This window comes from Homo sapiens, chromosome 22 (assembly GCF_000001405.40).
Source record: "Homo sapiens chromosome 22, GRCh38.p14 Primary Assembly".
Taxonomy (NCBI): domain Eukaryota; kingdom Metazoa; phylum Chordata; class Mammalia; order Primates; family Hominidae; genus Homo; species Homo sapiens.
Window position 1 is genome coordinate 18,990,550 of NC_000022.11, and position 24,133 is coordinate 19,014,682.

The 24,133-nt window shown below is 45.0% G+C and overlaps 1 long non-coding RNA gene across 5 annotated transcripts in view, besides 1 other annotated feature; it reads left to right on the plus strand.

The window, feature by feature from the left end:
- DGCR5 (DiGeorge syndrome critical region gene 5) overlaps positions 1–24,133 on the plus strand; it is a 60,775-nt gene that overhangs the window by 20,082 nt on the left and 16,560 nt on the right. For 3 of the 5 annotated variants that reach the window (NR_110533.2, NR_026651.2, NR_024159.2), the window contains 3 exons: positions 171–375; positions 1,268–1,468; positions 23,804–23,957. This is a non-coding gene — a long non-coding RNA (DiGeorge syndrome critical region gene 5). Of the gene's footprint in view, positions 1–170; positions 376–1,267; positions 4,081–23,803; positions 23,958–24,133 lie in introns of those variants that run through there. The other 2 variants (NR_002733.3, NR_045121.2) reach the window with 1 other exon arrangement.
- Positions 7,516–7,684: a silencer, noted in NCBI's record as "fragment chr22:18985578-18985746 (GRCh37/hg19 assembly coordinates)". NCBI's record gives its function as "represses an EF-1alpha promoter that drives an FKBP-Casp9 reporter gene in an ReSE screen in phorbol 12-myristate 13-acetate-treated (for megakaryocytic differentiation) K562 erythroleukemia cells {active_cell/tissue: K562(+PMA)}" and the evidence as "EXISTENCE:reporter gene assay evidence [ECO:0000049][PMID:32094911]".

Genomic DNA, 24,133 nt, shown 5'->3' on the forward strand with positions numbered 1-24,133 from the left:
TGGGCTTGCTGGGTCACGTGGTAAATCCTGTGGTTGATTTTTTGAGGACGCACCATACTGTTTTCGGTGGGACATCTGTTGGGTTTTGAGAAGCACCTGCTGGCACTGAGAGCTGTCTTGGGGAACACAGGTGCTCCTGCCGGAGTCCTCACGCTCTGCTCACGTTGCAGAAGGCCCCCTGGTAAGGCCAGCCAGCCGGAGGACCACCCCGCAGACCACACGCCCAGGGCCTGGCACCGAGGGGGAGGCCCCGATCAGCAGGTGAAAGCGACACCCTGATGACACTGGCTAGTTCACCTTCACTCTGGTCATCGTTTACTGTACCCCGGGGCAGCTCCCGCCTGAGCCCTATGACCCCAACCGCCGCAGCCTCTGGTAAGGCCTGGGTATGGGGCACATGGAGAGGGCCCATTCCAGAGGCTCCTAAGTCAAAAGAGATTCCACAAGTCAAAATCCTGATCCTGATCAAGCACAGGCCTTCACAGTGACATTTCACTGTGACCCTGGCCCAGAGACAGAGACCACTGTCCTGCAGTGTCCCTGGGAGGGAGGTTCTGGGTCTGCCACAGGACACCACACCCTGGAACATTGCACACCCTTTGCCTGGCCTTTTCCCAGTGTTTCTGTCAGAAATGCCCCCTCCCAAGCATACACCCCATCTTGTGCCCCGAGGGACTCGATTCTCTCCCCACACACCCGACCCGAGGCTGTCATGGGTAGTGCCTGCTGCTGGCCCCAGGGTTAGGGCTGCTCAGCCAGTCCTGGCTGGAAAGGATGAATGTCCCACAAGCAGCTTTGGGGCCTGCTTGGTGGGAGCAGCCCGAGGATCCGCCCTTCGTCCTCCTGCCATTTCCCACTTCCCTGGCTCTGGGGTCCTCATGTTCACGTGGTTCTCAGTGACTGGGTGATTGACCCCCATGAGCTGTCATTATTTTGGTGTCTTTTGCTGGACATTTAAGCCATTCCTTGTGTTTCTGCCATTAGCTATTATGGGCTGTAACATCTTTGCACCTGTGCCTTCTTTCTTTTTAAATTTCTGAAGTCCTAATTTGACCCAAAGGTGACACATCTCCCTGTGTGCCCTGTCAGTGATGAAACCTGCTCTGGGGATGAAGATGCCGTGGGGCCCACAGATCCAAGCTCTCGGAGTGTGATTCTGTCTCCCCTAGAAACACATCCATGGCATGTCCTCAGGGCATTTGTGCATGGGATTAAGCAAATGTTTCCTAATCATGTTTGTCCCTGTGCTCTGGCTTCTTGACCTCAGGCTGCCTCACTGGCCCATCATTAATACGTCGATGGTGAGCGCACTGGTGTACAGCGAGGGGGCTCCACTTCCGAGACCCCTGGAGAGGCCCGTCCTGGTGGAGTTCACCCTGCTGGAGATGGAGAAGCGAACCAAGCCTGTCTGTGTGTTCTGGAACCATTCCCTGGCGTAAATGTGATGCCGGGAGTTCTGCATCTTCATGTGAGGGCTTTGCCAAGACACAGAGAACCCGCAGGGTTGTTGGCTCAGCGGCAGATCGTCCCACGGGGACAGTCTCTTGTGGTCTGTGTCTCCCCCTTCAGCCCCCTGTGGGGCAGTGAGCCTCCTGCTCTGCTTCTGTGGGTGCATCAGAGCCCCCCCAGATGCCCACACGCAGACGCGCACAGGCCTGCACGTGGAAACACAGACATGCGCACACGCAGGCCCACACACAGACGCACACAGAGCTGCACGTGGAGACACGTGCGCACACGCAGGCCCACACGCAGGCCCACACACAGGTGCACGCGGACCTGCACGTGGAGACACAGATGTGTGCACATGCAGGCCCACACACAGGTGAGCGTGGACCTGTGTGAACAGATGCGCGCAGACCTGCACGTGGAGACACAGACATGCAGGCGCACAAAGAGATCCCTCAAGGCTGACACCCAGGAAGGGGCCTCTCACTTGTGGGACTCCCGAGATGCAGTGGCCAACACGAGTGTAGTGCCCAGTTCACTGCTGGATAAGACAGAGGCCTGTTCTGGTCACACATGGGAGGCAGAACCCAGAGACTGGGCCCAGGAGCCCTTCTGCTGACAGTGGGAACTCCCAGCTACGTGTGGGGGTCCCCATACCAGACAAAGGTCCCTGACCTTAGTCTTGCCCGAGAGGCCGACACAGCCCAGCTTTGGGGTCTGGCTTTACCCACAAGAGGCCACACCTTGCCACAGCACTGTTTATCTGGCCTGTTTCAGAAGCACCGTCAGAGTGGCGAAGGCAGGAGGTGGTGCACGAGAGTCTACGTTCTAGCATCCATTCAAGTGAGGGAAAGGCGTTTCGTACTTAGAAAAATGCAAAATTAATGATTCTCACCCACACATGAGACTGTGGATTCACCCATGTATGAGATAGTGGATTCAGAGCCATGCTGTGGCTCTCATCTGCTGGGAGCCAGTAGTGTTTGTGCTTTGGTTTTGCTTTTTTAGCTACATGGTTTATGTGAGGTGCGGACTTACTTGAGTTGCTCTGTCTTTACAGGGAGCTTGCTTTTTCTCTGCTGGTTTGTTTTCACTTTTGCTGTCTCTGTTTAGAAGAAAACATTAGAACTGGGGTGTGGTGGAAGGATGGGAGCACAATCTGGGAGGGGAAGACCTGCTCTCTCTCCACATACCAGGAGGGAGTGGCAGGAAGGGGAGACACTGTGCCGGACTCAGGGAGTCAAGAGCGTGAGCACCCCCAGGCTTCAATCTGCTGAACGTTGTGCATCTGGGGGCGCCCGTGCAGCAGGAACACTCTCCCCATCACAATTCCTCTGGGCACAGTGGAGAGCCATGAGTGGGGGCTGTCCTGGGGGCTGCGCTATGGTGAGTGAGCCCACGCCAGGAGCCAGTTCAGCCCAGCCTCATTCTTCTCCTGCTTCTTTGCTTTCCAAGTTCTAGTTCATAAGCAACCAGCACAGTACCTGGAATGTAAGAGGCGCTTGGCTTATAAAAGAGAGAAGAAAGGAACCCCTTTCACCACGAGGGACGTCAGGCCCAGCTCTCTGTCCCGGGCATTCATCTTTTTTCCGGCAATTAGCTTCAGCTCTAATGACCTGCTGTCTGCTTTATGTTGCACCTATGATTTCCAGATTGTAAAGTTTGTGGCAAATGTATTAACGTTCACATCCCATTTACAGATTAGCAAACTAAGGATCTGAGAGGTTATGTGATTTTCCCAGTCTGGCGGAGGGCAGGGCCCTGTCAGAAGCCGAGACACACCTCGTAACAGCTTGTTATTTGGGGCTTCCCATCAGTGAGGCAGGAGTCATAATGGGGCCCTGGCTTCTGGGCAATTCCCATAAAACATTGTGCCACCTGAAGATGGAAGTGTCAGAGGAAGGCGAGATGTTATTTCTGAAAGCATCTACCCTCAGAAAGAGACAGAGGAGTGCATCGCAGCTGTGTGAACCCGGGGTGGTGGTGGTTCCAGCAGCGGGGCACGTGGTGGACGCAAGACGGCCCCGTTTGAGTTTTGCTGCTAGGTGACATGTAGAACTTGAACTTCAGAGGGTGCTCCTTGGAGGCCCTGATGAGAGAGACACAGAAGGGAAGGGAGACTGTTCCCATGGTCCTGCCTCTGCGGCAGCGAGCCTGCTGCTCTTGCAGCTGGGTGGCTGTTCGGTGCAGGGGGCCGGTGAGGAACACGGTGGGGAGCAGCCTGCGAGGGCGCCGGGCTTTCAGCACTCACTATACCTGCTGTTTGGTTTGGCCAGGATGGCCTGGGAGTCCCCAGGGCCGGGCAAAGACTGCCCCCAACAGACATGGGCGGAGGGAACCGTCTCACCCCTGCCTCTTCTCCCTTCTCTACGCAGTGTCAGTGGGACGGGAGGGTGGTCTGCCCGGGGCTTCAAGCTCCTGTCCAGGAACCGGACCCATGTCGTACGCCAGTGCAGCCACACGGCCAGCTTCGAGGTGCTCATGGACGTCTCCAGGTGTGAGATGGGCATCTTCTTGTGGCCACTATGCCCGCTGAGCCTACCCCCAAACCTGCCCCTCCTCAAACTAAATCTTCCATTCTAAGCGCTTTGAACGAAGCAAATCAACCAATTAAAAAAATATATTCCAGGATTGGCCAGAGTCTGTGAAGATTTCCATAACAAATCCCCGTTACAAGGGTTTTCAGAGAGCCCTGGTTGTGCATTAAACCCCGCGATGGCAAACCCAAAGCTCAGGCTCTGAGGAGCTCTTGGAGTCTGCCCCTCGCTTCAGAGATGGTCTGTGCGAGGGTGCCGCTCTCCTCCCGCTTTGATCATAAGGAAGGTGACAGCTGCTGGGGACGGTAGGCACTCTCCCTCAGGGCCACAAGCTGGGCTGCAGGATAAAAGACTGGGCGGCTAATGTTTAACCTCTGGCATTTTAAGCGGCCTGGGAGTGTGAGCCGGCCATTGTGGGCCTGCAGATGAACTGGGGAGTGGCCCGAGTGCTGTCCTCGGCAGGACAGTGCTATCCAGCCAGGAAGTGGGTGGCAGCCAGCCTGGGAGTGGCCTATGTGGGACCCTCCTGTCTAGGAGTCAGAGCCAGAGGCCTGGGTGGCCTCCCCTGGCCCCTCCCCAGGGCTGCGCTGTAGCTCAAGGGCCCAGGCCACCATCCTTCCCGAGGGCTTTCTGATGTGAAGTGGCCCTGGTTTCTGTCACAGTCTTGGAAGGGTGAGTCAGCCCTGGGGCAGGGCTGGAGGAGGGCTGTGGCTTCCTGTACAATGTGCGGGGGAAGCTGTCCCACCTGTGCCCCCATCTCATGGGCAAATGGCACTCCCCAGCAGGACCCAGCCTGGAGAGGGGTTCAGTGATTAGTGGACTTTGTTCATAGAAGGGCAGGGTTGGGGGTTGTCTCGTGGCCAGGACGCCGGGCAACATGTGGGCCAAGGAAGCTGAAATTGAGGCGGAAGGAAGGAGGCTGGAGTGGGAGTCCGAGGCTCCCATGGCCTGGGTGCCCCAAAGTTAGCGGTCTCTGAACAGCCCTGAACCAGTGGAGGGAGACTGGGGTGCTGCTCCTGGCCCCAGGGATGTCCAGGGCCCGGGCATTGAAGGGACCTCAGAAGGGGCAGTTCCAGGCCCAGGGCTGTGAGCACTCGGCCTCCCCAACCCAGCCAGGTCTTGGCTTCCCAGCTCCTAGTTCCACATGGTAAGCAACGCCTTCCAGAAGTTACCAGAGAACCAGAGCTTGTTGTTCCCCAAATGCAGAAACTCCCCAGGGACCTGGGTCCTGGGCAAGTGTCCTGGTTTGTAAAAGCACAGGAAACACAGCAATGTGAACCTACACACTGCTGAACTGTACGCTTCAAAGTGTCCAAGATGATATGTTTTATGTCATGTATATTTTAGCACAATTTTCCTTTTTTTGTTTTTTGACACAGTTTTGCTCTTTTCGCCCAGGCTGGAGTGCAGTGGTGAAACCTTGGCTCACTGCAACCTCTGCCTCCTGTATTCAAGTGATTCTCTTGTCTTAGCCTTCCAAGCAGCTGGGATTACAGGCTGCAACCACCATGCCGAGCTAATTTTTGGATCTTTAGTAGAGACGGGGTCTCACCATGTTGGCCAGGCTGGTCTCAAACTCCTGACCTCAGGTGATTGACCTGCTTCGGCCTCACAAAGTGCTGGGATTACAGGTGTGAGCCACTGTGCCCAGCCTGTTTTTTAAAGACATGTTCACTGCCTGTAAGAAATGCATAATAAGGTGGGGTGTGGTGGCTCACACTTGTAATCCCGGCACTTTGGGAGGCCGAGGTGGGCAGATCATTTGAGCTCACAAGTTCGAGACCAGCCTGGGCAACATGGCGAAACCCTGTCTCTACCAAAAATACAAAACTTAGCCAGGCATGGTGGTGCATGCCTGTAGTGCCAGCTACTTGGCAGGCTGAGGTAGGAGGATGACTTGAGCCTAGGAGGCAGAGGCTGCAGTGAGCCAAGATTGTGCCTCTGCAACAGAGCCAGACCCTGTCTCAAAAAAAAAAAAAGCATAATAAGGGATCTGGAATTTAAAAAATAGGTCCATATAACAAGCTATAATAGAGACGTGCAGCTGGCACAGGACATCCATCCACTGGTGATAATGATAGAACACGTCATATTGCACGATAGTAGGAAAAACAGGACAGATGGGAAGGGTGCGGATGACCAGCGCCGTAGCAATCTGAAGCATCGAGCCTGCCAGTCCACATAACTGAAACCTGAAGCTCTGCCCCTGCCCAGCTCTGTGACTTCCAGCAAGTTGTTTAGCTTCTTTAAGCATTGATTTTCTCACCTGGAAGATGAGGGTTGCATTCACACTCTCTTCATAGCTGTGACCTAAGGATGATATGAAACGACGCCCTTGGCAGATCTATCAGAACCCCTACCACATAATAAGTGCTCAGTAAAAGGTTTTGCTGAACAAAGGAAATTACATTCATGTTGTATTACCACAATTACCCACTTTCTTTATAAAGCGGTAGTAAGTCTTTCAGCCAAAAGAATAAGTCCATGATGGGATTAAGTGAAAGTCCAAGAGGTACTGCATGCACCTAAGGTGGAGATGTGTTTATCTTTTGCATAAGCTGGGGATGTATTTGGAAGGTTTCTGCTAGCCCAGAATTTGGGTGGACAGGCTGAGCCCCTCCCAACAGCAGGATTCACCTATGGGGTTGGTTTTGGGTAGACAGGCTGAGCCTGCCCCATGGAACTGTAGGGGCTTACGAAGGCATTTCGTTTGGGGAAGGAGCTCATCCAGGAGGACTGGGATCTCTGGTTATATGTGACTTCTGACCTCTGGGCATGGAGGTCTCTCTCCAGAGGCCCAGGCCTGGACACGAAGGGAGAGAGGCCTCCATTGTCCCACAGGGGCCGAAATGCAGACGGTGCATCCCCGGTGCCCTGGGGAACCCTTCTCTGATCATCAGGATTCTCTTGGACTCCGGGGTCCTTGTCCTGCTCAGGCATCCCTGCCCTGCTGTCCTTCAGGGCCCTCAACACGATCTTCTCTGGACACGAGTCTGGGGATAGCCGGGTGTTGTGGGCTCCAAAGGGTTGACTCCTTGCTCCTGGGCCCCACAGAGAGTCCTTGTGCTCAGTGCACTGGCTGTGCTGCAAGATATCCTGGAATTCGAAGCACACAGTGCTGGCTTGCTGTGGTACCTGTGCAATCAAATTGAAGGCAAGATCACCAGGAAGGAACACAGGGCTTGCAAGATCACGGAAAACCTTCTTGGAGTTGTTTTGACACACCACTCATGTCAAGTGTCTGGGTACTTGTAGGATGGCCCGCCACTCCACCCAGGGGCAGGAGCAACAGGGAGATCCCACAAGCAAAGTGAACTGGGGGATGGGGTGAGTGGGCTCCAGGCAACAGAGCCCTACTGGCAGGTCCTCACCCCCTGGGCCGGAACTGGAGTGAGGGGCACAGAGTGCCCAGGTAACCGCTCCTGGGAACAGTGGGGAACTGTCAGATGCTCGAACTTTCGAGAGCTGGGCTCTGAGCGTCCTCGTGGAGCTGCCAACTCGGCCAAAGGAGAAGCGAGCAGTTTCTTCTGTTGCCGGGCAACACGCCTTTTAAACCTGAGCGAGTGGGTGCGCATGCAAAGAACGGGCGCGAGTGACAGAGCGACCTTAACGGATTAGCACCTTAACGGATTAGCACCTTAACGGATTAGCGTGGCAAGGTATGCAAGCAAGTCACCTGCTGGCAATTTGGGGGTGGGGAGGGGGAGGTGCGCAATACATACTGGAAGGAGAGGCACCCACACAAAGGACGCAGGAAGAACAGGTGCGCACAAAGGCACAATGGCGGCAGATCTGCCCGTGGATCACTGAAGATTCCTGCTCTCCTGCTGAGGTGGAGATTGCAGTGAACTAAGATCACACCATTGCGCTAGAGCCCGGGCGACAGAGCAAGACTTGGTCTCAAAAAATAAATAAAATAAAATAAGTACAATAAAATAACAAAACAAAACAAAGTAAGAGGAGATGATATCTGGTCGTGTTTTATGGCCATCTGGTAAGCTAGATTCTTTCCTTTGGTTTTATTGCCAATCAATGATTAGAAAGAAGCAGTTTGCTGTTGGCTTGTTTTTCCCCTCAACTAAATGTAAGAAAAAAAAAGAGTCAAAAATACCGAAGCTAATTTTAAAATGTATGTATAGAGAGAGACTTGGTCTTACCTTGTCATCCAGGCTGGAGTGCTGTGGTGCCATCACGGCTCAGGGCAGCTTCGACCTCATGGGCTCAGGCAATCCTTTCACATCAGTCGACCAGATAGCTGAGATTACAAATGTGGGAAACCACACCCTGCTAATTTCTTGTATTTTTTGTAGAGTCGGGGTTTCACCTTGTTGCCGAGGCTGGTCTTGAACTCCTGGGCTCAAGCAATCTTTCTGCTTCTGCCTCCCAAAGTGTTGGGATTATAGGCATGAGCCACCATTCCCGCCGAAATATTTTTGAGATTCATAGAGATGAGTAGGTCATAATAAGAGTGCACAACTTGTAGTTATATTTAATATCTTTTGAAATTACTCGGCACCCCCATTGTAATTTAAATGATTTGTTCCTGACCTGGTTTTACTTTGTTCCTGAGGGTTGCAGATCCCTTGAACAATATTCCACGAATGAAGCAGTGATAATAAACCTGCAGCTGCCCCGAGGGGGCGCTGTGCGGAGGTTCACAAAGGGACCTGGGTCTCCCTGGTGCGGATGCGGGGGCCGCCTCCATTCTGCTTTCTGACACTGCCACCGCGGGGCCAGGCTTGATGTGACCCCATCACTGCTCAGTTCACTACACAGTTTCATCTTTTGATATGGAAGATTTGACTCCATCCACGTTCCTTAGGAGGTTACTGGAAATGACAGCGCTGTAAATTTCTGGGTAAATGAGCAGCCAACATTTTTGGGAGCTGTCACACAACCACACTGCCCTTCCCTCTGCCTGAAAACCTTTAGGCCTGATTGACTCGGAGAAAGCCCATTAAACTCAGCCCCCACTGACTTGTTCATTTCCACTCAAACGTTTGTGATAGTCCCAACACAAGGCTTGTCCTCCAAGGGACAACTTGTAAACACTTCTAAGAGAAAGGGTTGACTGGGCCCGGTGCCTCACACCTGTAATCCCGGCACTTTGGGAGGCCGAGGTGGGCAGATCACTTGAGGTCAAGAGTTTGAGACCAGTCCATGATCTTGGCTTGAAGAGGCAAGACCCTATAGTTTATTGAACATTTTAAGCCCACTCCTTGATCCATGAGCCGCAGAATGGATGTTGTATTAGCAAAAATGAAAACAACATTAATCTCCTTGTATCATCATTAGAGCTCCTGGCTGACTGGTTACATTGTCAATCAACAGTAATATTTTGAAAGGAACAGTGGGCTTAAAATGTTCAATATGCTGTCAACAGATGTGCTGTCATCCAGGCTTTGTTATTCCGTTTATAGAGCACAGGCAGAGTAGATGTAGCGTAACTCTTAAGGGCCCTAGGATTGTGGGACTGGTGAATGAGCACTGGCTTCCACTTAAAGTCACCAGCTGCTTAGGCCCTAATGAGAGAGACAGCCTGTCCTTTGAAGCTTTGAAGCCAGGCATTGACTTCTCCTCTGTAGCTATGAAAGTCCTAGATGTCATCTTTTAATAGAAGGCTGTTCTATCCACATTGAAAATTGTCATTTAGTGTGGCCACCTTCATCAGTGATCTTAGCTAGATCTTCTGGGTAACTTGCTGCAGCTTCTGTATCAGCACTTGCTAGCTTCGCCTTGCACTTATATGTTATGGAGATGGCTTCTTTCCTTCAATATCGTGAGCCAACCTCTGCTAGCTTCAAACTTTTCTTCTGCAGCTTCATCACCAATCTCAGCATTCATAGAATTGAAGACAGTTAGGGCCTTGCTGTGGATTCAGCTTTGGCTTAAGGGAATGTTGTAGCTGGTTTGATCTTTTATTCAAGGCAGGAAAACTTTCTCCATATCAGCAATAAGGCTGTTTTGCTATCTATCATTTGCGTATTCACTGGTGTAGCACTTTTAATTTCCTTCAAGAACTTTTCTTCTGCATTCACAACTTGGCTAACTGGCCTAGCTTTCAGCCTTTTGGCTTTTGCCGTGCCTTTCTCAATTCGCTTAAGCATTTCTAGATTTTGATTTAAAGTGAAAGATGTGGGAGTCTTCGTTTTACTTGAATACTTAGAGGCCATTGTAGGGTTACTAATTGGCCTAATTTTAATATTGTTATGTCTCAAGGAATAGGGAAGCCCAAGGAGAGGGAGAGAGACAGAATGGCTAGTCAGTGGATCTTTCAGAACACACACAACTTTATAGATTAAGCTCACTGTCTTATATGGGCACAGTTCATGGCACCCCAAAACAATTACTATAGTAGCATCAAAGACCACTGGTAATACATCACCATAACAGTTATAATAATAATGAGAAAGTTTAAAATATTGCAAGAATTACCAAACTTGACCTAGAGACATTGAAGTGAGCACATGCTATTGGCAAAATAGTACTAACAGACTTGTTTGTTACAGGGTAGCCACAAACCCCCAATTTGTAAAAAACGCAGTATCTGTGAAGCACAAGAAGGTGAAGTACAATCTGAGGTGTATCTGTATTTTCTTCCACGTTGTTAGGTGTCTTCTTATAACCTAAGTTTTAGATTTTCCTAGACAATAACTTAAATAATTTTAGAACATTATAAATTACTTCTCCCTTGAAGGATTGCTTGTGGTCAGGAGTTTGAGACCAGCCTGGACAACATAGTGAGATCTTCTCTCTACTAAAATTTAAAAAAATATATAGCCAGGCATGGTGGCGATCCTCCCACCTCAGCCCAGCTACTTGGAGGGCTGAAGCAGGGGGATGACTTGAGCCAGGAAGTTGAGGCTGCTGTGAGCCATTATCACGCCACTGCACTCCTGCCTGGACAACAGAGCAAGACCCTGTCTCCAAAAAAAAAAATTACTTCCCCTTTGATTATAGAACTTTGTCACATATCAAGTTGATTAAATGAAGATAATTCAAGCATTAAGTAATTATTTAATGCTTTTTGTGTTCTTCTAGTTTGAGTTCTATGATTCTATGATCTTAAGATATTTACCTTAATATATAGAGAGACATATATATTAATTATTATATAACACAAATCAATTATTTCAATTAATAATTTGAAGTTTTTTTCCATTTACTTGGTACTTAGAATGCAGGGGGAAATATGATATAGGATGGTTAGTCATACATAAGGAAAATTCTTTTTGTACACTTGACAGTCTTGGCTACATACCCAATTCTCTGCTTTTTTATTTCCTATGGACACTTCTTTGATGATATATATGTATGGCTTGGGGGAGGCGGTTGGCTTTTGTTTCCTGTGAGACAGATATCTAAGTTCCATAGATATCTGTTCCTTCCCTTTAGAAGCAAAGAGGATACTGGTTCTTTTATTTCAAGATCTGTAAGTTAAAATTGGACAGTCTGAAATGCATAATCTTTTTCTTTTTTGAGACGGAGTCTCACTGTCACCCAGGCTGGAGTGCAATGGTGCAATCTCGGCTCACTGCAGCCTCCACCTCCCTCCCAGTTTCAAGTGATTCTCCTGCCTCAGCCTCCAGAGTAACTGGGATTACAGGTGCCTACCATCATGCCTGGCTAATTTTTGTATTTTTAGTAGAGACGGGGTTTCTCCATGTTGGCCAGGCTGGTCTCGAACTCCTGACCTCAAGTGATCCGCCTGCCTCAGCCTCCCAAAGTGCTGGGATTACAGGCGTGAGCCACTGCACCTGGTCTGAAATGCATAATCTTTTAAAACTGAAAGCCATTTCTAATAGTGTTCTTAATTTGTCAAGAATCGTATGAGAAGTGCCAGTGCCCTTTGCCTGTCTAGCTATAAGTGGATTATCATGCCCACCCTTTGGAGCCAGCAGTTTTGGTTCAGTCCTTTGGTCTCTGACTACTCACAGTCTGCAGGAAAGAGCAGGTTGTGACACTTGACTAGTTTATGAGAGCAGAAGCTGTTACGTGACACTTAGCACATACTGCTCTCAGAGGCCCCAGATGGATCATTAATGCTCGGAACGTGCGTGCTTTATGGAGAAACCGCCTAATCAACGGAGGTAGATTCCCTAATACCCATATCATCTTTCGTTAACTCTCTTAAGAGTCACCCTAAAATTACTGTGCTGACGATCACTGTATTTCATTAAGTATCCATTACAAAACAAGCCCTTATGAGTTTAGCTTTTATTTAACAAATACATTGTTCTCTTCTAACTTGTGCCTTTTATCATCCGTTGAAGCTTTAGAATAGTAGAATGTTCATGCTGAAAACGTCTTGGCATTCTGGTTTATTATCAGGTTTACAGATCTGGGACTGAAACCCGCACAAGGATAAATGGCTGCCTCAAGGCTATCTTGTGAGTCCAGGGCGTTATGTAACCAGCTTTCAGTACTATTGCTTTAAGGGTTGCATCTTCCTTTTTTTCTATTTTTAAAAAATCAGTGCCTCTGTTTATACACAATTATGTTTTTAATTTAAATATGCAGCTAACTGTAATAATTTTTAAGTGCTTATCATGAGAAGGGGTAATCGAGTTCCCATTTCCTTATCTCTAAAATTTCGCTGTCCAGAGACAACCATTTTTAATTTTTTTAGCTGTTGTCTTTAGGGATTGATGGTACTAGATTGGTAATACAAGAATAACCAACCGGAATAGAGAAGATGTTTATACATTCAGTAAACTTTTCTTTGGTTTTAGATTTTTCTGTCTATGAGCTTTAGTTGCGTTATTGTTTTCTTGCTCTGGAAAACCCTAACTGAATGCAATCAAGATGCCTCTAAAGGTTCAATTGAGAGAGCTTTATTTTGAATGAAAAATCTCATTGTTTTTTGATGAAATGCTAGACTTAGAAATGGATTGGTTAAATCTGAAGAATAATGAAACCACTTAATCTAGTATAAAATACTTTTAATAAATGAACAGAAGATTTTAGTGCTGCCTGAGGTCATTTAATCTCAGATTGACATTGAGAATGCAGCTTTATTGGGGGATGTACTTCATGAATGTGTGGGCCACAGAAGAAAAGATTGGCTGTTTCTTGCTGGAGATGAGTGGAATCAAAAGAATTAATGGGCTGGAATGGTTTAGCAGGCATATATTTATGTGTTATGCTTTGCTTGCATTCTAAGCTTTTTTTCCTAATATAAAAGTTAATAATTTGTCAACTAGTAACCTCTGTGTCAGGTAGTGTGCTGAGTGTTTAAATAGAAGTTAGGGAATAAAAATAGTTTCTATTCTCAGGAAGTTTATGGACTAGTCAGTAAAAAATACATCAGTAATTAAAACTCAGTAAATTAAAACTTTTGTTTATGGTTATAACAGAATATCAGACCAAATCTCTGATGAGACTACTGTAAAAACTGTTTAAAATACAAAAACAAATATCTTTGATGGCACTGGGGACTAACCAAGGCAGCCAGGTCAAATTTGGCAGGAGCCAAAATTGTAGAGAAAAATCCTATTGAGTTGAGCCCGTATGTACCCCTGCTTTTTTCCCTTAGGGTGGTGGCTAACTCTACACATGGGGTGGAGACCAGACAAAGCAGTGGTCCAGAGTTTGTTTCATAACCACTGAGTAGTGGGAGTAAAACTTGAATTGAGGGATTCTAAGGCAGCCAAGATTTGAGGGTCCAAGATCCTAGGAAAAAGACAACCTCAAGAGTAATGAACTCAGTCAACATGGTGGCACATGCCTCTAGTCCCAGCTACTCAGGAGGCTGAGGCAGGAGGATTGCTTGAGCCTAACAGTTCAAGATTACAGTGAGCTTTGATCACACCACTACACTCCAGCCTGGGCAACACAGTGAGACCCTATCTCTTTGGGAAAATAGAGAGAGAGAAAGAGGGTAGTAAACTCAATATTTGACTTAGCTTTTGCTGTTAAGGTATTTTTCAAAGTCAGAAGGAGAAATTCAGTAGAAAGCTATTACCCAAGCCTAAAAAACGTAAGCACAGTTTTTGTTCTCACAGGAGTAGGTTGACAAAAAATTAGATTTCAAGGCCAGCCAAAGAGGAATGACAATGGGAAATACTCCAGGCCTTCGGCTGAGACCTCAGAAGAATTATGACCTACAAATAAAGGTTGACCAGAAGTTATCAGCTTGAAATCCAGCTTCAAAACTTTGATTGGATCAGGGTGATCAGCCCTTATTCTAGTTACCTGCCAGAAGAAACTTAGCCCCTATACTCTTGGAACATACTATCCTGCATTCCATCAAAATACCAGGCATGGCCAGGCGCAGTGGCTCATGCCTGTAATCCTGGCACTTTGGGAGGCCAAGGTGGTAGGATTACCGGAGGCCAAGAGTTCAAGACCAACCTGCCCAACATAGTGAGACCCTGTCTCTATAATTAATTAATTAATTAAATACCAGGCATGCCAATAAGCACGATCAAGTGAATGAAAATCAAGAGAAAGAATGAGTAACAGAAAGAACTTGAGGTGATCCAGATATTGGAACTCTTAGATAGGCTTTTAAAATAACCGATTTATGAGTTTAAGGAAACAGATGAAGAGATAGAGAGTTTTACCAGAGAACTGGAATCTATAAAATAGAATCAAATGAACATTTTATTTTATTATTTTATTTTATTTTTTATTTTTTGAGATGGAGTTTCACTCTTGTCACCCAGGCTGGAGTACAATGGTGCAATCTTGGCTTGCTGCAACCTCCGCCTCCCAGGTTCAAGCGATTCTCCTACCTCAGGCTCCTGAGTAGCTGGGATTACAGGCACCTGCCACCAGGCCCAGCTAATTTTTTTTTTTTTTTGTACTTTTAGTAGAGACGGGGTTTCGTCATGTTGGCCAGGCTGGTCTCGAACTCCTGACCTCAGGTGATCCTCCCAAAGTGCTGGGATTATAGGCGTGAGCCATGGCGCCTGGCCAAATGAAAATTTTAGGACTAAAAATACATTAGCTTGAGTTACAAACTCCCAAGCATGTGTTTCACAACCACTCAACACGGAAAAGATTTGTGAATTAGAGGACTGATCAGTAAGAAATATCTACAGTGAAGCACCGAGAAATGAAAGGATGAAAAAAATACAGTGTAGTGGAGACACAGGACATAATAGAGGGGTTAAGACACATACAATTGGGTTATACTAAGAGAAAAGAGAGGGCTAGGAGTGTCATAAGTGCTAAAAGTCAAGGACAGCAAAAAAAATCTTTAATTGCTAGAGAAAAAAGATACTAGGTTAAGAGGAATAATAAGATTGGCAGCCGATTTCTCAATAGATAACAAAAAGAGGATTTGTCACCAGCAGGCCCATTCTGAAAGAAAAAGGAAGTTCTCGTCGCAGAAAGAAAATAATACCAAAGGGAAACAAAATTTCAAGAAGGAATAAAGAACAGTGGAAGAGTAAATATGAAGGTAAATATATATGAATATTGACTGCAGTGTAATAAAAATGTCTTATTTAAAGATACATGCAGGTTTAAAGTTTAAGATAAAATGGTTCAAAAGTTAGGAGGGGGCAGTAAATATAATTAAGGTGTTGCAAGGTCTTTGAATTGTTCAGAAGGTTAGGAAATTAATTTGTCGTAGACTCTGAGTAAGTGAAGGGCTGCACATTGTAAATCTCTAGTCCTACACGCTGCTACAGTTGACATTCATTGCACGGAGTTACTGAGAACTCAAATGTGACTATTCTGAATTGAGATGTGCTGTGATTATAAATAAACACCAGATTTTGAACACTTAGAAGATTTCATATAGAAAAATAGAATGTAAAATGCTTCATTTAAAAAATACTGATTACATGTTGAAATGATCTCTTTTTTTTGAGACAGAGTCTCGCTCTGTCACCCAGGCTGGAGTGCAGTGGTGCATCACGGCAGGCTCCACCTCCCGGGTTCACGCCATTCTCCTGCCCCAGCCTCCCAATTAGCTGGGACTACAGGTGCGTGCCACCACCCCCGGCTAATTTTTTTGTATTTTTAGTAGAGATGGGGTTCCACCGTGTTAGCCAGGATGGTCTCGATCTCCTGACCTCGTGATCCACCCGCCCCGGCCTCCCAAAGTGCTGGGATTACAGGTGTGAGCCACTGCGTCTGGCTGAAATGATCATATTTTTAATATGTTTGATTAAATAAGATACATTAATATATATTTTTAACTTTTTCAATGTGGCTACTATAATATTTAAAATCACATATTGTTAACAAAGTAATAAAAGAATGGAAAATAAGAGGCTAACAGAAGAGAAATGGAATATTAATACTTGATTAATCCAAAATAAGGCAGGAAAGGAGAGAAAAGGAACAAAGAACTAAGGGTACAGTAATAGATGTAAACCCAAATATGTAAAAATCACATTATAGGTAAATAGGCTGCATATTCCAGTTAAAAGACAAAGATTTTCAGATTAAAAACAATAGACCCAACCATAATTTTGTTCAAAAGACCCACTTTAAATAGAAAGACTGGAAGTAAAAGAGTTGGAAAAGATGTACTATGCGAGCACTAACCAAAGGACTGCTGGAAGAGCTATACTAATTTCAAAGCGTCATTTCTCAGAAAGAAATATTACTAGAGATAGAGATTGTCCGTAATGATAAAGGATTAAAACAATTACAATAGCCAAGGCACCCTTAGAAAACAATGTGGGAAGACTTCACGCTGCCCAGTAAGACTTTAGAGGCACGTAGAGCACATCATAAATTCATATGTATCTAGTAACGCAGCCCCAGAGAATATAAAGGGAAACTGATAGAACTAAAAGGCGAAATAGGCATATTTGGAAATTTTAACACATTCCTCTCATTAACGAATAGAAAAAGCAAATGAAATTTAGTAGAGCTACAGAACATGTAAGTAATGCTATTAACTACTTTGTCCTGACTGATCCATAAAACACTGCACCAGACAACAGCAAATTGCACATTCCCTTTGTGTGTGTGTGTGTGTGTGTGTGTGTGTGTGTGTGTGTGTGTGTGATGGAGTCCCTCTCTGTCACCCAGACTGGAGGGTAGTGGCGTGATCTCGACTCACCACAACCTCTGCCTCCCGGATTCAAGCGATTCTCCTGCCTCAGCCTCCCGAGTAGCTGGGATTACAGGCATGTGCCACCATGCTTGGCTAATTTTGTATTTTCAGTAGAGACGGGGTTTCTCCATGCTGGTCGGGCTGGTCTCAAACTCCCGACCTCAGGTGATCCACCCGCCTCGGCCTCCCAAAGTGCTGGGATTACAGGTGTGGGCCACCGCGCCTGGCCTGCACATTCCTTTTAATTGGCCACAGTATATTCATCAGAATTGGCCACATGCACTCTCAAAAAATTTCAATGAATTAAAATCCTTCAGAGTAAGTTCTCAAAGTGGAGGGAAAAATGTGATCTAATCAAAGTGATGAACAAAAGCATTTGATAAAATTCAACACCTGTTTATTAGTTTCCAAAAAAACCCCCACAGAACAAATTTCTAACAAACTGGGAATAAAGGGACTTTTAAAAAGATGATAAAGGGTATCTACACAAAATAATATTTATAGTGGACATTAAGCCTAATGGTGACTTATTGAAAGCTTTCTTCCAGAGATGAGGAAAGAGACAAGACCCTGCTCTCATCACTTCTATTCAGTGTTGTATGTAAAGCTCTACTGGGAGACTGAGGCAGGAGGATCTCTTGAGGCCAAGAGTTCAAGACTCACCTGGGCAACATAGTTAGATGCCCATCTCTACAAAAAATTAAAAAATAAAGTTCTAGTCAGGGCAGAAAGGCAGAAAGAGAGATAAGAAGTATAATACTTGGAAAGAAAGAAATAAAATTCTATTTGCAGACATGATTATGATGTAGGAAATACTAACAAAGATGCATGTAAAATATGAGAATTAATAGCAAGTGAAAAAAATTTCAGGATCTAATTTTTATTAGCATTTAAAAAATAAAGTACAGTGGCCAGGCACAGTGGCTCACGCCTGTAATCCCAGCACTTTGGGAGGCCGAGGCGGGCGGATCACAAGATCAGGAGTTTGAGACCAGCCTGGCCAACATAGTGAAACCCTGTCTCTACTAAAAATACAAAAATTAGCCAGGTGTGGTGGCATGTGCCTGTAGTCCCAGCTACTTGGGAGGCTGAGGCAGAAGAATTGCTTGAACCCAGGAGGCGGACGTTGCAGTGAGCTGAGACTGCACCGTTGTACTCCAAAATGGGCGACAGAGCAAGACTCTGTGTCAAAAATAAATAAATAAATAAATAAAAATTATAGCCAGGCTTTGCTGTGCCTGCAGCAGATTAGACACAGAATGCCTCATTTTAAAAGCTCATAATACCAAGTGTTGGCAAGGAAGCAGAGAAACAAGAACACTTGCACCCTGCTGATAGGGCTCTAAACTGTTCTCGCCAGTTTGGAAAACATTGGCACTATCTGCTGAAGTTGAATAGTCTCCTTAAGAGTCAAAAGCTGGAAACAACCCAAATAATCATCAAGACATGAATGGACAAATGAATTGTGATATATAAGGTATACAAAACAAGCAAAAAAAAAGAACAAACTGTTGCAACATGCAGCAGCGTGGATGAATCTCACACGCATAATATTGAGCAGAAGCAGCCAGATGCACGGGAGTCTGAACTATGATTCCATTTAAATGAAGCCAAAACAGTGGTGGGAATTAATCTATTATAATATGTCAGAAGAGTGGTTATCTTTAGGGGAATTGAGGGAGGCTTTCTGGGATTCTGATTACATTCTGTATCTTGATTTGGGGGAGGTGGCTACATGGTGTATTCACTTTGTGAAAATGCTTTTAGCTGTACTTATCATTTGGGTACTTCATGTATATTATACTTCAGCAAAAATTAATAAAAAATATTTTTGGTATTTTCAGGAATGTTGTTGCCCCAATTATCTGTGGTTCTGAGGTTTTTATGTCACATGTTTCTGATATTTTACTCTTCTTCATTTATTCCAGATGATTTATTAAGATCCATTAGATTCATTTTCTTTTCTATATAAAACAAATTATTTATAGTATAGTGTATTCGTTTTCTGTTACTATTGAAATTACTACAAATGTAGTGGCTAAAACAACACATAGTTTTCAGCTTAGAGTTGTGTTGGTTAGAAGTCCAGCATGGCTCTTACTGGACTAAAATCAAGGTGTCAGCAGAGCTGTGTTCTTTTCTCAAGGCTTTAGGGGAGAATCTGTTTCCTTGCCTTTTCCAGCTTATAGAGGCAGCCATGTTTTTTGGCTTGTGGCCCCTTCCTCCATCTTCAAAGCCAACAGCTGGTCAAGTTGTCACATTGCGTCACTCTGACCATAGGTTATCTGCTTTTAAGGTCTTGTGTGATTTGATTGGGTCCACCTGGACCATTCAGGATCATCTTCCTGTCCTTAAAATTCTTAATCACATCTGCAAACTCTCTTGCCATGTAAGTGAACATGTTCAGAGGTTCCAGAGAGTAAGACATCAATAGCTTATGGGGCTACCACAGATACCTTATACAATTATCTCCTGAAAGTTGAGTTTCTAGGATTTAGTTGTGTTATTTTTTTTTATAACTTGCATACCATACAACTCACCAAGTTGGACAGTTCAGTGGTTTTTAATGTATGCACAGAGTTGTGTAACCATCATCACAATAAATTTTAGGATATTCTCACCACCTCACAGCCCTAGGCAGCCACCATGGGTTTGCCTGTCCCAGACATTTCATGTAACAGGAATCATTTGTGGTCTTTTGTCACTGGCATCTTTCAGGTATCATTTTTTTTAGGTTCTTCCATGAGGCATGTGTTAGTACTTCACACCTTTCTATGGCTGAATGATTTTTTTTTTTTGAGACAGAGTTTCTCTCTTGTCACCCAGGCTGGAGTGCAATGGCGCGATCTCAGCTCACTGTAACCTCCGCCTCCCGGGTTCAAGCGATTCTCAGGCCTCAGCCTCCCAAGTAGCTGGGATTACAGACATGCACCACCACACCCAGTTAATTTTTGTATTTTTTTTTTTAGTAGAGACAGGGTTTCACCATATTGGCCAGGCTGGTCTCGATCTCCTGTCCTTGCGATCCGCCCGCCTCCACCTCCCAAAGTGCTGGGATTACAGGTGTGCACCCTGATAAGTGACAAGTGCTGATTAATTTGCATTTCTCTCATTATGAGTTAGGTTGATCATCATTTTCTGTATTTGTGTGTGTGTGTGTGTAAATTGATTGTGTGATTCATTCATTTTGCTCATTCTTCTGTCTTTTTTTGGTCTTTTTCCCTTCAATTTTAAACCATTTTGGATGTATTAGGGACCTTAAGCATTTACTTGTGAGATATTGCAAATATACTTTCCCAGTTTTTTATGTTTTTAAATTCTATTTATGATGGTTTTCTCGTCATGCAATAACATTTTCACTTTTTTTAATTAAAAGGATTTTTTATTTTTAAGATTTTAATTTTTATGTAGTCACATCGATCAAGTCTTTGTTTTACAATTTCAGATTTAAAATCGTAGTTAGAAAACCCTGGACTTTATATTTGATATGGTGTGAAATAGGTCTCAGCATTTATCTTTGCCCCCTTTGTGTATACACTTGACCTAGCACTATTTGCTGGAAGACTCTTGTTTTCTGCATTGCTGCTTTGGTTATAAAACATGTGTCTATAAATATGCAGCTTCTTCAGAGACTGTTTTACTAGTTTATTCTTGTGCCAGTGCTGTATTGTCTTAATTATTATAAGTGCAAAGTTTGTGATTTGGTGCCCTTGTGTATATTTAACTTTGTCATTACCCAAAGGCAAATTGTAACCAGAGAAGTGTGATGAGTAATCCACGTTGACATGACAATGGAGGGTGGTTTTCAATGTAATTATTATCAAATGAAAGAATATTTAACTTACGGAGGAAGAAAGATTAGTTCAAAGACAATTTTACTTTTATTAGCAGGATATAAAAGAAGATTGAAAATATAAGAATATGTTGAGTTTATTTACTGGCTAATAGAGGAGGGACAAATTGGCAGGAAAGTGGTATGACTTTCATTGTGTGACTTTTTGGCATCATAGTTGATGGCCAGTTTTTGTGAACAGAAACAAGTCTTAAAGAATATGAACAGGCCAGGCGTGGTAGCTCACACCTGTAATCCCAGCAGTTTGGGAGGCCGAAGCAGGCGGATCGCTTGAGGCCAGGAGTTTGAGACCAGCCTGGCCAACATGGCGATACCCTATCTCTACTAAAAATACAAAAGTTAGCTGGGCGTGGTGGCACACGCCTGTAGTCCAGCTACTCAGGAGGTTGAGTCAGAAGAATCGCTTGAACCCAGGAGGGGGAGATTGTGGTGAGCCAAGATCATGCCACTGCACTCCAGCCTCAGTGATAGAGTGAGACTTTGTCTCAAAAAAAAAAAAAAAAAGAAAGAAAGAAAAAGAAAAAAGGCTAAGCGCAGTGGCTCATGCCTGTAATCCCAAGCACTTTGGGAGGCCAAGGTGGGTGGGTCACCTGAGGTCAGGAGTTTGAGACCAGACTGACCAACATGGTGAAACCCCATCTCTACTAAAAATACAAAATTTAGCTGGGCGTGGTGGCGCACGCCTGTAATCCCAGCTACTCAGGAGGCTGAGGCAGGAAAATAGCTTGAACCTGGGAGGTGGAGGTTGCAGTGAGCCGAGATTGTGCCACTGCACTTCAGCCTGGGCGACAAGAGCGAAACTCTGTCTCAAAAAAAAAAAAAAGAATATGAACAGTCCTTGAAATTAATGAAATTAGTGCAGTGTCTCTCTCTCTTTTTATGTATTCTAGATTTCATAATGTGACAGCCCTAAATCATAAATCACCAGAGTTAAATTCTGTTTAATTCATTGAAAATATTGATCCCTTTTTCTGCCTCTTTTTTTTGGGGGGGCAGGTGGGGACAGGGTCTCACTCTGTTGCCTAGGCTGGAGTACAGTGGCGTGATCACGGCTCAGTGCAGCTTTGACCTCCTTGGCTCATGCGATCCTCTCATTTCAACCTTCCCAATAGCTGGGACTACAGACATGTGCCACTTTACCCAGTTAAATTTTTAAATTTTTTGTACAGACAGATTCTCCTTATGTTGCCCATGATGGTGTTGAACTGGGCTCAAGTGATGCACCTCGGCCTCCCAAAATGCTAAGATTACAGGCATGAGCCACTGTGCCCAGCCTTTTCTGCCTGTTCTTAACCTAATGGTACTGTATTAGAACTTTCATAATTGAATAACAGAAATACACTCCACATGGAGTCACTGACATTTAGAACTGGAAGAGACTTTAGAGATTAGTTACTTATAAACTACTTTGATTTGTACAAATAAATTCAGTACAATTATCTGAGAGAGGGCATGGTTCCAGATAGGAGATAGTGTAAATCGGTTGGCTAACTCATGCCAAAGAGACAAAACTTTTGGGTTCTTTTGATAAAAAGTAGTTTTTATTTTTTTTCCCCACAGATCTTTAACTCCTCTGTGTTCCCTTCATTTCTAGAGGAAGTGAAAACATTTCTTCACTACTTTTTAGAATAATAAATTTACAGCCAATTTATTATCCATAGTGTTTTTTAAAGCTCATATTTTAAACATTGTCTTTATAAAATATAAATATTGCAAATGGTCTTTATCAAGTAATATGATCATTTAGACAGCATAACCCTTGCTCAAACTGTAAAGTCTCTAGTTTTTTATTAATATATTATGCATGTTTTAGAAAATACCTCCTTTCAATGGTGACTAAAATTTGACTACTACAGAATTATAAAGTAAAAAACATAAATTTCAGAAAAAATTCTTTTTTTCTTTTTTTTTTTTTGTGACAGAGTCTCACTCTGTCACCCAGGCTGGAGTGCAGTGGCGTGATCTTGGCTCACTGCAAGCTCCACCTCCCGGGTTCATGCCATTCTCCTGCCTCAGCCTCCCTAAGAGCTGGGACTACAGGCACCCGCCACCACGCCCAACTAATTTTTTGTATTTTTAGTAGAGACAGGGTTTCACCATGTTAGCCAGGATTGTCTCGATCTCCAGACCTCATGATCCACCCACCTCGGCCTCCCAAACTGCTGGGATTACAAGTGTGAGCCACCGCGCCCGGCCCAGAATAAATTCCTTTAGATACTGGCCTCATCATGGAATCACTTTAGAGCAATGAGGATTATTTGACTCTCAATGATATTTCTTTCTGGAAATTGCAAGATGACACTTCCTGTGGCATTATAGGATTTTCCCAAGATATCATGTGCTATCCCCCATCATCTGAATCTGGCATATGTGGACACATCTCAGGCTTCCATAAAGTCTTTGATTACATATATGATTTTATTGTTTTAAAAAGAAGTACATGATTTGGCCAGGCACAGTGGCTCACGCCTGTAATCCCAGCACTTTGGGAGGCCGAGGTGGCTGGATCACAAGGTCAGGAGTTTGAGACCAGCCTGGCCAATATGGTGAAACCCCGTCTCCACTAAAAAAAAATACAAAAATTAGCTGGGTGTGGTGATGCATGTCTGTAGTCCCAGCTACTTGGGAGGCTGAGGCAGAAGAATCGCATGAACTGGGGAGGCGGAGGTTGCAGTGAGCCGAGATTGTGCCACTGCACTCCAGCCTGGGCAACAGAGCCAGACTCTATATCAAAAAAAAAAAAAAAAAAGAAGTACGTGATTGTTTATAAACCTGTAAAGTTCTATTTCTGTAGCGCAGTATGGTGTGCTGCTTACTACCCGTCAGAAAGTTTTGGTAATAGGGCTCTTGAACTCAGTATAAAAGTCATGAGCTTTGTTGAGTCTCAAAATATCTAATCTTGCTTGATCTACTAAATTCGTTTTCATTTTCTGTTGCTTCTAGACCAAGAGCAGTGATGACCTTTTAGCTGGAATGGCCAGAGGGGTAACGGTGACTAATGGTGTTAAAGGGAAGGAAAGCTCCTGCCCATCTGCAGCACCTTCGGCATCTGCCCCTGCCATGACCACTGTGGAGAACAAATCCAAGATTAGCACAGGTATGGGTGACATTCAGTCTGAGACTTCAACTGCTTTTTTGTTTGAATAGGCAGGATGCATTGGTGTTTACAGTGTTCCATCTCATTATAGGAAATTGTAGACATACAAAAGTAGATGGATTGATATTTCAGCCCAATACGCTCATCACGCTCATCACCATTATCAGCTCACAGCC